The sequence below is a fragment of the Homo sapiens genome, chromosome 8, assembly GCF_000001405.40.
Source record: "Homo sapiens chromosome 8, GRCh38.p14 Primary Assembly".
Taxonomy (NCBI): domain Eukaryota; kingdom Metazoa; phylum Chordata; class Mammalia; order Primates; family Hominidae; genus Homo; species Homo sapiens.
Genome location: NC_000008.11, coordinates 7,976,256 through 7,988,802, shown reverse-complemented (window position 1 = coordinate 7,988,802; position 12,547 = coordinate 7,976,256). Strand labels below are relative to the sequence as shown.

Genomic DNA, 12,547 nt, shown 5'->3' with positions numbered 1-12,547 from the left:
CCCCTGCCATCCCCATCTGATCAGCTGCTGATACACACTGCTGTGAGACGTGAGGACAAATTATATCACTGGATCCATTGCAGACATTCTTGAGCACCAGCCTGGTGTGCGGCATCCCCACTGGGTAGCTAGACCCAGAGAAGCAGCAGCAGCATATGCAGTAATCTGAATTTCATGGCCTCCTACTCTGAGGAAAGAGGAAGCACACCACATCAAGGGAGCACCCTGGGGACAAAATAATCTAGATGGCCTTGAGTCCCAGAACATTCCACTTGTGGGAAGTTGTTTGGTGGTTTGTTTTTGTTTTTATTTCCAGCAGAGGAACATGTGCATGCTAGGCTCAGCGAGGAAAGTCTGTAGCTATATCTCAACAATCAGGCAGCCTTGATGCTCAAGAAGAGTCTTGGAGAATGGGGACTTATTTTCCATCTCATACACTACTGCAGACACAATAGTACTGTACTCAGAGCCAGTGTACTGAGGTGAGTGGCCATAAAACCTACTGAGACACCAGCCAGGACAGCTAAAGGAGTACTTGCATTACCACTCCCCCAACCCCAGGCAGCACAGCTTGCAGCTCCAAAAAAGACCGCTTCCTTCTGCTAGAGGAGATTAGAGGAAAGAGTAAAAAGGACTTTGTCTTGCATCTTGGATATCAGTTGAGCCACAGTAGGATAGGGCCCTGGTCAGGGTCATGAGGTCCCCACTGTGGATGTAACTAACTTTTTTTTTTTAATTTTATAGGCTGATAGGCAGAAGGGACTTGTCTCAAATAAGACTTTGGACTTGGAGTTTTGAGTTATGCTGGAAACAGTTAAGACTTTGGGGGACTGTTGGGAAAGCATGATTGGTTTTGAAATATATATAAAATACATGAGATTTGCGAGGTGCCAGGAGCAGAATAATATGGTTTGGCTCTGTGTCCCCACCCAAACCTCATCTCAAATTATTATCCCCACACATCGACAGAGGGACTTGTAATCGCCATGTGTCAAAGAAGTTTACTTCATGCTATACTCATGATAGTGAGTGAATTCTTAGGAGATCTGATGGTTTTAAAAGTAGGAGGTTTTTTTTTTCTGTGCACTCACTTCTCTCTCCTGCCACCTTGTGAAAAAAGGTGCCTGCTTCTGTCTTGCCTTCCACCATGACTGTAAGTTTCCTGAGGCCTCCCCAGCGATGCAGAACTGTGAATTAATTAAACACCTTCCCTTTGTAAATTACCCAGTGTGGGGTAGTGTCTTTACAACAGTGTAAAAATGGACTAATACAGGTTCCCTGAAATATTCTGAGTCCCTTTGGAGGCAAGAATCTCTTTATACCAGCATGGTATACTGATGAAGTACATCCTGATCTCATGGGCTAAGAAAAAATTTATACATACCCTTTATGTGTCAGCAACTCTATGTGCAGGCTTTTGAGACCCAGAATGGGCTTTCTTGCCCCATCTAGTCTATGTAACATTTTTCTAAGCCAACTCAATGTCTTTCATCCACACTGGGATAGGTCCTAAATTGCTGTCTGTTGCCCACCTGAGATAATGACATGTTGTTAAATCAGGTGTGTGTGACCCTGATACGTCTATCTGAGTGGCAGGAGAGGGTCTATCTGTTCACAAGAGTCTCTGCAACATTTTCTAAGTCAGTTCAGAAGCTTATTGATTCACCTTTGCAGGCAATGTAGCCATGAGAAAGGTCTCCAAAAATTCCTGACCTTCTGGAAATTTTTAAAGTCTCCGCAGGTTTCCAGAGGTGACTGTAGCTGCACTGAAAGTCACTGCCTGGATAACTGGCCTGTTAAAGCAAAGGCAAAATATGTCAAGCCCACTAAGAATACCCAGAAGCCATGGTATTCAATTAATTTTTGTCTTTCTTGCAGGTGGGAGAATACTGAGGATTATGCCCTCCTATAGCCAGTGAAGGTTACTCCAGTGCCTAGATGTACCAGTCAAGAGAGGTCATGGGAGAGCAGATGGCAGAAAGGGCAGCCAGGTCCTTTCGCTGGGGTTTACTGCTTGTCATGAGCTCTGCTGCTGGGCAGCATGTGTGATTTCTGACTCCTGCCATGTCCTCAAGAAGCCTTGCCCCATCAGCCAGCTGTCCTACCTCCTGAAAGCTGGTGCATGTTTGTTAACATGGAGATCCAGAACAAGAGTCACTTTAGTATTTATCCATAGAGTCCCCATGTGTGCACATGCTTACCTGCAGGTTGTTTTTCCTATTTTTCTGAATGTTAATCCTTGCCTTCTGGAACTCGATATTACCCCCTGTGGCCAAATATGGGATAATTGTAAGGGGAAACTGCTCTTTAGGTCCCAAGTCCACAGGGTTAGTACTATTATCAATATTAAAATTATTAATTATGGATATTAGTATCATAATAATCATCATCATTCCTGTTAATACTCATCAATATGTTTATTATTATTATCATTAAGATGGTTTATTAATGTTATTATTCAGTAATAAATGTTTAGTTTCTCCATTCACTCAGTCAAACTGGAGTCTGACTCCCGATATGACTATGGATATGACTGCATATGACTATGAGGGTTACCCTGCAGATATAGACATGAACCGCTGTCCCAGAGACAGCTCTTGCAGGCACTAATTGCTCTTTCATAGGATGAGTTCCTTACAGGAGAGAAGGGCTGATCTCCATGATGTGGTTTCCTCAGGGTCTCATTAAGGGCTGGTGATACAGGAGCACTGCCTACCCCTCTTACTCACGTGAGAGTGGTACATTCTCTGTTGTCATGGCTGGGATGGCTCCATGTTGAACATATAAATTCCAGGTTCTAGAAGCAAAAAAGCAAAAGATGCATTGGATCTGCATAGGGAACTGCAAGCCATCCAGCAACCACAGGACACAGTCAGAAACAACCACGTGGACCACATCGCCCAAGCTCAGCTGCATGGCTCTCCATTGGGTTAGGACGAGGACCTATTCCACCAGGCTCAACTGGAGTCCTATCCCTGGTCCCAGGACCACAAGGAGCATCTCTTTTTTTGGAATCACACTGCTCCATTCGAAGGACAGCCCTCAGTTCTCTATCTTCAAAAGAGGCTGCAAATGGTGCTGATTGGGAGGGAGCCGCCAGCAGCATCACCCTCTACAACTATAAAATAAAACTGTCTCCCAGGGTGGGATATTATGCTGACCCTACCTAAAAGCACATTTCCTAGATGTTGCTTGTTGCCTGGAGTTTGAACAGCATTGTCCAAACTTTGCCATTGAAGAACAAGGAAACTTACCTGGGGTAGTTGCAGGAGTAGGCCTAAATCCAGGTGTGAAGATCCTTGAACTGGGGGTGTTTCTGTACCTGTAGAGATTGCAGACTGGGAAAGGTAAGGCTCTGGTCCTGCCAGGCTCTCTAGAGGTTAAGAATGTGATCTGCAGAAAGACATGAACTAGCACAGGCTACTGTAGAACATCTGCCCCCAAGAATCATAAATGCCTTTTCACTCATCCTGCAGAATGCACTCTCTACTTTAATGATCGTGTGGGATGTGACTTTAATTTTTAGGCATGGGGATTGATCTTAAGAAAAAGCAGGCAAAGTGCCTTACCTGTCCTGGGACTCTGCTCCACTTGCCAACATTTGAGTGGATTCATTTGTGTGGTAGTCAAGCTACAGGAAATAAAGGGACCAGTCAGTCTTCCACACAATGACACAGAGGCCAATTATCACAAGTCCAAATCTCCATTTGTCATCCAGCTCACATTCCCGCTGTGGCACAAGGTCACATGCACTCGTGTCCAACTCCAAATAGTAGCTTCACATAGTATGCCAGCACTCTCCCACCCATCACCTCTTCTAGAAGGTCTTCCGCTGGATTGGAAATGGCCTGGGATAAAAGATAATGACCACAGGAAGCAGTTGTTTTTTTAGGATCTGATCCACATGAGAAGGTAGGACATCTAATTTGGTCTGAGGACTTTAGCTATGCTAATATTTCAGGTAACTGTCCCCTGTGTCTATAGATTTACAATGGGAATGGAGTGAGAGATGATGAAAACTGTTTTCTTTCCTAGTGAGTATGAGGTAGAACCCTTACATCATGCTCTCTGTTGCCTGTTCTCCATACAGAGCCATCTCCCATTTAGAGAGAAGACATGGATTGTCAGTGGGAGCAAGCCTGAGATATGCCCACTGGCAGCTCCCAGAAACCCCTGAAACCTGGCCACATCATGAAGTTTCAACTGTGGGTCTCATGCCTCTCTTGGTATCTTGAATTCAGAACATTTAATGTCATGGCAGGCCAGGGAACTTCCTCTGCTCTAGTTTGGCTCTCTATCGCACATTCACCGCCCCCCCCCCCCGCCACACACACACAAAGTCACACACACTCACACATCAACCTACTGGCAAACCAAGGTAGAAACACACACACACACACACCTGCTCAATCCAGGCCAATATCCCTGATGAACATTAATGCAAAAATTCTTAATAAAATACTAGCAAACAGAATCCAGCAGCACATCAAAAAGCTTATCCACCACAATCAAGTCGGCTGCATCTTTGGGATGAAATGCTGGTTCAACATACACAAATGAATAAATGTAATTGATCACATAAACAGAACCAAAGACAAAAACCAGACAATTATTTCAATAGATGCAAAAATGCCTTTGATAAAATTCACCATCCCTTCATGTTAAAAACTCTCAATAGACTAGGTACTGATGGAACATATTGCAAAATAATAAGAGCTGTTTATAACAAACCCACAGCCCACATCATATTGAATAGGCAAAAGCTGGAAACATTCCCTTTGAAAACTGGTACAAGACAAGGATGTCCTCTGTAACCTCTTCTATTCAACATAGTATTGGAAGTTCTCACCAGGGCTATCAGGCAAGAGAAGGAAATAAAGGGTATTCAAATAGGAAGAGAGTAAGTGAAGTTGTCTCTGTTTGCAGATGACATGACTTTATATTTAGAAAACCCCATCATCTCAATTCAAAAACTTCTTGAACTGGTAAGCAAGTTCACCAAGTTCTCAAGATATTAAATCATTGTGCAAAAATCACAAGCATTCCTTTACATCAACAATAGTCAAGCAGAGAGCCAGATCAAGAATGAACTCCCATTCACAATTGCTACAAAGAGAATAAAATACCTAGGGATACAGCTAGGAGTACAAGGGATGTGAAGGACCTCTTCAAGGACAACTGCAAACCACTGCTCAAGGAAATAAGAGAGGACACAAACGAATGGAAAAACATTTCATCCTCATGAATAGGAAGAATCAATATTGTGAAAATGGCCATACTGCCCAAACTAATTTATAGATTCAATGCTGTACCCATCAAGCTACCATTGACATTTTTCACAGAATTAGAAAGAACTATTTTAAATTTCATATGAAATCAAAGAATACCCCGTATACCCAAGACAATTGTAAGCAAAAACAACAAAGCTGGAGGCATGACGCTACCTAACTTCAAACCACACTAGAAGGCTACAGTAACCAAAACAGCATGCTACTGCTGCCAAAACAGACATATAGACCAATGGAGCAGAACAAAGCCCTCAGAAGTAACACCACACATCTACGACCATCTGATCTTTGACAAACCTGACAAAAACAGGCAAGGGAGAAAGGATCTCCTATTCAGTAAATGCTGCTGGGAAAACTGGCTTGCCATAGGCAGAAAACCAAAACTGGACCCCTTCCTTACATCTTATACAAAAATTAACTCAAGATGGATTAAAGACTTAAATGTAAAATCCAAAACCATAAAAACCCTAGAAGAAAACTTAAGCAATACCATTCAGGACATAGGCATGGGCAAAGACTTCATGACAAAAATGCCAAAAGCAATTGCAACAAAAGCCAAAATTGACAAATTGGATCTAATTAAACTAAAGACCTTCTGCACAGCAAAGAAACTATCATCAGCATGAAAAAGCAACCTACAGAATGGGAGAAAATTGTTGCAATCTGCCCATCTGACAAAGGTCTAATAACCAAAGTTGACAAGGAACTTAAACATATTTACAAGCAAAAAAACAAACAACCCCATCAAAAGTGAGCAAAAGATATGAACAGAAACTTATCAAAAGAAGACATTTATGCAACCAACAAATATATTTTTAAAAAGCTCAACAACACTGATCATCAGAGAAATGAAAATCAAAACTACAGTGAGATACCATCTCACACCCGTCAGAATGGCGATTATTAAAAAATTAAGAAACAATAGATGCTGGTGAGGCTGAGAAGAAAGAGGAAGGTTTTTACACTGTTGGTGAAACTGTAAATTAGTTCAACCATTGTGGAAGACAGTATGGCTATTCCTCAAGGATCTAGAACCAGAAATACCATTTGACCCAGCAATCCCATTACTGGCTATGTACCCAAAGGAATATAAATCATTCCACTATAAAGACACATGCACACGTATGTTTACTGCAACACTATATACAATAGGAAAGACATGAAACCAACCCAAATGCCCTTCAGTGCTAGACTGGATAGGAACAACACACAACACAGCCCGTTGGGGGCTGGGGGTGAGGGAAGGAAACTTACAGGATAAGTCAATAGGTGCAACGAACCACCATAGCAAAGGATACCTATATAACAAATCTGCTCGTTCTGCGCATGTATCCTGTATTTTTTAAATTTAAAAAGAGGAAATACATACATACATACATACATGCATACATACATACGTATGTACATACTTTTGAAAAACGTCTATACAGCTTGGATCTTCATTCCTGATAAGCCAAGGAACCTGGAGAAACACCAGAATTCTGTCCCTCTGAGAATGCCGGACAGGTTTACCTTCATCACCATAAAATTTTGGAACAAATGTGGTAACTGCAGGTTCTCCCCACAATGAGTAACTGAAAATTGAGGCAGTATTTCAGATCCTAAAAAACTGATGAAGTAATTCGCCACACATTTGGGTTGTTTTTGCCTTTTCCTACTATGAAGATTGCTAATAGGAAGAATAGTGTACAAGTATCTGTTTGATTCCCTGCTTTTAGAATCCTTTGCTTGTTTGTGTGTTTGTCTGTTCCTTCTTGAGACAGGATGTCACTCCAGTCAGCCAGGATTTTCCAGTGTGTAATTTTTGTTGTTTCCTTTTGTCAAGTTTTAGAAGTTGTTATTTTATTTCTATTGAATTTTAAGGCATTTTTAGATATGTATTAAAACATTATCACACAGGCCGTGTGTTACATTGCAATTATTTTCATCATTCCTTTAAGAAACAAAAGATTTAGCTTAGATATCTTCCAATTTGTGAATCTTTTCTGATTTTGACTTTTTTAAAAATGCTGTCATATACAAGAAACCCTTGGATTAAAAATGCCATGAATATTTCTCTTTTCTTGCAGTCATAACTTCGGTGTATGTCATCAAATAGTCTCTGGTTTATAGCATGTTTTCTTGAAAGTGTTTCACAATGTATTTTGGGCATTGAGAATTTCATCAAACTTAAGTGAAGGTTTCGACATTCACTATTGAAGGGAATAGTCCTATTTGATGCCTTATTATTTGCATATCTTGCTTCCACAAGAACATTTCACGCAAAGACTTGTCTTCTCCCCAATGCCAGATCATTACAACATGACATGGAATCAACTGGCCAAAAATGGGAAGGTTATCTCTGGAATGTCTATTTGACTCCATTGATCACTTCATCTTAATTAAGACAAAAAATATGCTGTGTTAATTACCTCACATTGTTGCAAATTCTCAAGTCAGAAAATGTAGTTATAACTTCTTGGCATTTAGTCACTGAAAGAATGATCTTATCTCACAGATGCACATGCTTGGAAGTACTTCTCAAGGCATACACACACATCCAGAAACAAACACACAAATACACTCATACACACAAACTGTTTAATATGTACACAATTGTTAAATAGCATTGTTATACATGAAATAAGGCAAATGTTTAGCTACTATCCTAACCCGGTTCCACTCCTAACATATTTGCTCATAATACTGACAAGTAAATCTGCTTCAACCCTTCCATAGTCACAATGTAAGCAGTGTCCATTAAATTCTCTGAGGAATGCAAGAGGATACAACCTAAGACAAAAAACCTAATTGAATCCTGATATTTCATTAGTAAATAGGGTAATTGATGGATAAATGTAATGGTCTCGGTGGGTGGACAGTAGTTAAATAAGGGCTGATGCAGCAAGATAATTATTTAAAGGCGTTTGAAAGAAATTGAAACAGGAGAGTGGATGTATTCAGCTAAAATAAAATCCGGAAGCCCTGAAATAAATCTCATTTTGCGGGTAAAAAAATGGCATTGGAGGAGATTCTGGGTCAATCATGAAGCTGTGAAAGTTGCATCTTGGAAGCAGGATCCCTGTAATGAAACGAGACTTGTTTATCAGAGGTGGTCTTTCAGAGGAAAAGATTTTGAAGAATGGCCCCTTCCTTTTGTGTATTTGACGATTAGATTTCATGCCAAATTTCGGGTTTTAAACTCTATTTAAACGTTAAAAGAATTAACTAAAATGGCAAAAAAACAAGAAATTTTTTGATTAGGAATCGTCAAATATTCATTTCTTGTTAGATACAGTTACCAAACACGACCTACCGGAGAGAAACAATTGTGGAGAATGGCCCCTTATTTTTGTATATTTGCTGATTAGATTTCATAGTCCATTTCTCATTAGGTACAGAGATCAAAGTTGACCTACCCAAGAGTAGAGATATCCAGGACAGAACTCAGGGCACGGTAGAACCACAGAATCTTGGGTGAAATATTGCTCAAGAACAAAAATGTGCTTATTCAGCGTGTTTCTGTGTGACATGTGTGGAAACTAAAGTGCAATGAGCATGACAGGAAGACAGAATATCAATTCGGCTCACCTCAAATCAGTTGTGAGCATTAAAGAAAACCAATTCCTAGGTCCCGCTTAAAGAGATAAGACCATCCAACAACCTGTGTGAAGCCACCGCATCTGGCTTGCTCATGATTCTGGGGATCATTCTCCAGAAAATGGTGGCTCCTTTCTCCCTGTGGAGCATCTTTCTAAGCAGTGCCCTTTCTTCCCCCAGGACACTTTACATGAGGTGCAGGAAGCCTTCTGATGGAGCACACCTGGCCCATGAAAAGACAAGGGAAAGAAAAAGGGCCAAAGGTCACAGTCCTCTCATTACATCATCATCCTTAAAATCATCCTAATTTCATGAGCCCTGAAGACAGGGCTGTTTCTTTACACCTAGAGGCCTTGGCGCCGGGCCTCAATTCTGCCCTGTTCCTTACTGTCTAAGACATTTTGGGAAAATCACTAGAGCCAGGACCTTCATTCCTGGTAAGCCAGAGAGCCGAAAGACACACCCAAATTCTGTCCCTCTTAGTTCAGGGAACAGGTCTACTTTCGTCAGCATTACAATTTTTGCACCAAATGTGCTAACTGCAATTCCACCATACAATGCATAACTGGAAATGGAGGGAACATCTCAGATCATGAACAATCGATGAGAGAATCCAGGAGATACACGGCTTATTTTTGCCTTTTCCCTGTGAAACAAGGGCAAGTATTAAAAACTTTATGCTGTCTTCTATTTCACTGCCTGCTTTTAAACGTCTCCGATGTATTCTTCTTGAGAAAGGGCCTCACTACTGTCACCTGGGCTTTTCTAAGGTATAATTTTCCTTGTTTGCTTTTGTCAAAATTAGAACATTTTATTTCATATCTATGAAATGTTGATCCATTATCACATACGTATGGAAATAGTATCACCAATGCTGTGTGATAAGTTGTTTTTATTTTGGTCAATTCTTTAATAAACAAAAGGTTATAGTTGGGATACCTTCTGATTTCTCAAGGTTTTTGTTTCATGTTTTCTTAAACTGCCGCCGCACGTCCGAAACCACTCACTATACAATGTCAGGACCATCTCTCTTTTCTGGCACACATAAATTTGGGGAATGTCATCAATTAGTCTCTCGGTGATTGCATGATTTCCCCAAAGTCTTTCACAGTCTACTTTGTGCAATGAGTATCTCTTCAAACTTCAGTGCATATTTCTACCATTTGATGCTTTATTATTTGGCAACCTAGCTTCCACAAGAGCATGTCAGGCAAAGAGTTCTCTTGTTCTCCACTGGAAGGTAATTTCATTCGCACAGAGAATCAATAGGCTGAACGTAGAAAGGTTATCGCTGGAAGCTCTGTTTCATTCCACGGATCTCTCCTTTCTTATTAAAGAAAAAAATACGCTGTGCTAAATACCATACTTCATTGACTAATCTCAGGTCAGAAAGCACACTTCCGATTTCTTGTCCTTCTGTCGCTGAGAGGATGATGATAGCTGCCAAAAGTACATACTTGGAAGTTCATCCCAGCACGAGCACACACACACATACACACACACACACACACACACACACACACACACACACACAGACACACACAGGGTTTCATAGGTGAAGATTTCTTCCCTGACATTCTTTTACCTAAAATAAGGCAACTGTGTGGCCACTGCCCAAACCCGGTTACACTCATATTATATGTGCCTATCACCCTGAGGAGTAATTTGATTCAGGTGTTCTAGAAGTCATGATGTGGGCTGTGTCTGTTGAATTCCCAGCGATGCAAGGGGACACACCCTGTGACTCATTCCTTAATTGAGTGCTGATATTTGATTGTTTTATCGCGCACCTGATGGGTGGGTGGGGTGTTAGCGGCTGGTGGGGGTGAGTTCTATAAGGGATGATGCGGCCAGAGAGCTCGTCATTTGAAGACTCTCTCGGAAGAGATAGCGTCTTGCTGCAACCTGCGGTCCCAGCAGAAAAACCTTGTGATCCTTGTTGCGGGCGACATGGGGGATGACTCACTCTACTTGGGAGGTGAGTGGCAGTTCAACCACTTTTCAAAACTCACATCTTCTCGGCCAGATGCAGCTTTTGCTGAAATCCAGCGGACTTCTCTCCCTGAGAAGTCACCACTCTCATCTGAGACCCGTGTCGACCTCTGTGATGATTTGGCTCCTGTGGCAAGACAGCTCGCTCCCAGGGAGAAGCTTCCTCTGAGTAGCAGGAGACCTGCTGCGGTGGGGGCTGGGCTCCAGAATATGGGAAATACCTGCTACGAGAACGCTTCCCTGCAGTGCCTGACATACACACTGCCCCTTGCCAACTACATGCTGTCCCGGGAGCACTCTCAAACATGTCAGCGTCCCAAGTGCTGCATGCTCTGTACTATGCAAGCTCACATCACATGGGCCCTCCACAGTCCTGGCCATGTCATCCAGCCCTCACAGGCATTGGCTTCTGGCTTCCATAGAGGCAAGCAGGAAGATGTCCATGAATTTCTCATGTTCACTGTGGATGCCATGAAAAAGGCATGCCTTCCCGGCCACAAGCAGGTAGATCATCACTCTAAGGACACCACCCTCATCCACCAAATATTTGGAGGCTGCTGGAGATCTCAAATCAAGTGTCTCCACTGCCACGGGATTTCAGACACTTTTGACCCTTACCTGGACATCGCCCTGGATATCCAGGCAGCTCAGAGTGTCAAGCAAGCTTTGGAACAGTTGGTGAAGCCCGAAGAACTCAATGGAGAGAATGCCTATCATTGCGGTCTTTGTCTCCAGAGGGCGCCGGCCTCCAACACGTTAACTTTACACACTTCTGCCAAGGTCCTCATCCTTGTCTTGAAGAGATTCTCCGATGTCGCAGGCAACAAACTTGCCAAGAATGTGCAATATCCTGAGTGCCTTGACATGCAGCCATACATGTCTCAGCAGAACACAGGACCTCTTGTCTATGTCCTCTATGCTGTGCTGGTCCACGCTGGGTGGAGTTGTCACGACGGACATTACTTCTCTTATGTCAAAGCTCAAGAAGGCCAGTGGTATAAAATGGATGATGCCGAGGTCACTGTCTGTAGCATCACTTCTGTCCTGAGTCAACAGGCCTATGTCCTCTTTTACATCCAGAAGAGTGAATGGGAAAGACACAGTGAGAGTGTGTCAAGAGGCAGGGAACCAAGAGCCCTCGGCGCTGAAGACACAGACAGGCGAGCAAAGCAAGGAGAGCTCAAGAGAGACCACCCCTGCCTCCAGGCACCCGAGTTGGACGAGCACTTGGTGGAAAGAGCCACTCAGGAAAGCACCTTAGACCACTGGAAATTCCTCCAAGAGCAAAACAAAACGAAGCCTGAGTTCAACGTCGGAAAAGTCGAAGGTACCCTGCCTCCCAACGCACTTGTGATTCATCAATCAAAATACAAGTGTGGGATGAAAAACCATCATCCTGAACAGCAAAGCTCCCTGCTAAACCTCTCTTCGACGACCCGGACAGATCAGGAGTCCATGAACACTGGCACACTCGCTTCTCTGCAAGGGAGGACCAGGAGAGCCAAAGGGAAGAACAAACACAGCAAGAGGGCTCTGCTTGTGTGCCAGTGATCTCAGTGGAAGTGTCGACCCACACGTAGGGGTGCACGCACACACACACACACACACAAATACACCCACAAGCACGCACGCAAACACACACACACACACCCCCAAACAAACCCGAACACCGTCAATCCTACATAAAG

The 12,547-nt window shown here is 42.6% G+C and overlaps 1 protein-coding gene, 1 long non-coding RNA gene and 1 pseudogene across 2 annotated transcripts in view; 1 reads left to right on the top strand and 2 right to left on the bottom strand.

The window, feature by feature from the left end:
* The window catches only part of LOC124901865 (translation initiation factor IF-2-like), a 451,468-nt pseudogene that overhangs the window by 76,389 nt on the left and 362,532 nt on the right, over positions 1–12,547 (bottom strand).
* Positions 1–12,547, bottom strand: part of FAM66E (family with sequence similarity 66 member E) — a 53,743-nt gene that overhangs the window by 19,953 nt on the left and 21,243 nt on the right. Inside the window, exons 3-6 of the long non-coding RNA NR_027424.1 lie at positions 3,570–3,631; positions 3,255–3,322; positions 2,730–2,797; positions 2,202–2,266 (exon numbers count right to left, since the gene is read on the bottom strand). This is a non-coding gene — a long non-coding RNA (family with sequence similarity 66 member E). The remainder of the gene's footprint in view (positions 1–2,201; positions 2,267–2,729; positions 2,798–3,254; positions 3,323–3,569; positions 3,632–12,547) is intronic.
* Positions 10,818–12,410, top strand: USP17L3 (ubiquitin specific peptidase 17 like family member 3). Its single transcript, NM_001256871.1, has one exon. It carries the CDS (start codon positions 10,818–10,820, stop codon positions 12,408–12,410), a length of 1,593 nt encoding a protein of 530 aa, NP_001243800.1.

Excerpts from the sequence above, each read along its gene's own strand:
- USP17L3 (NM_001256871.1), top strand. The coding sequence starts at position 10,818 with ATGGGGGATGACTCACTCTACTTGGGAGGTGAGTGGCAGTTCAACCAC.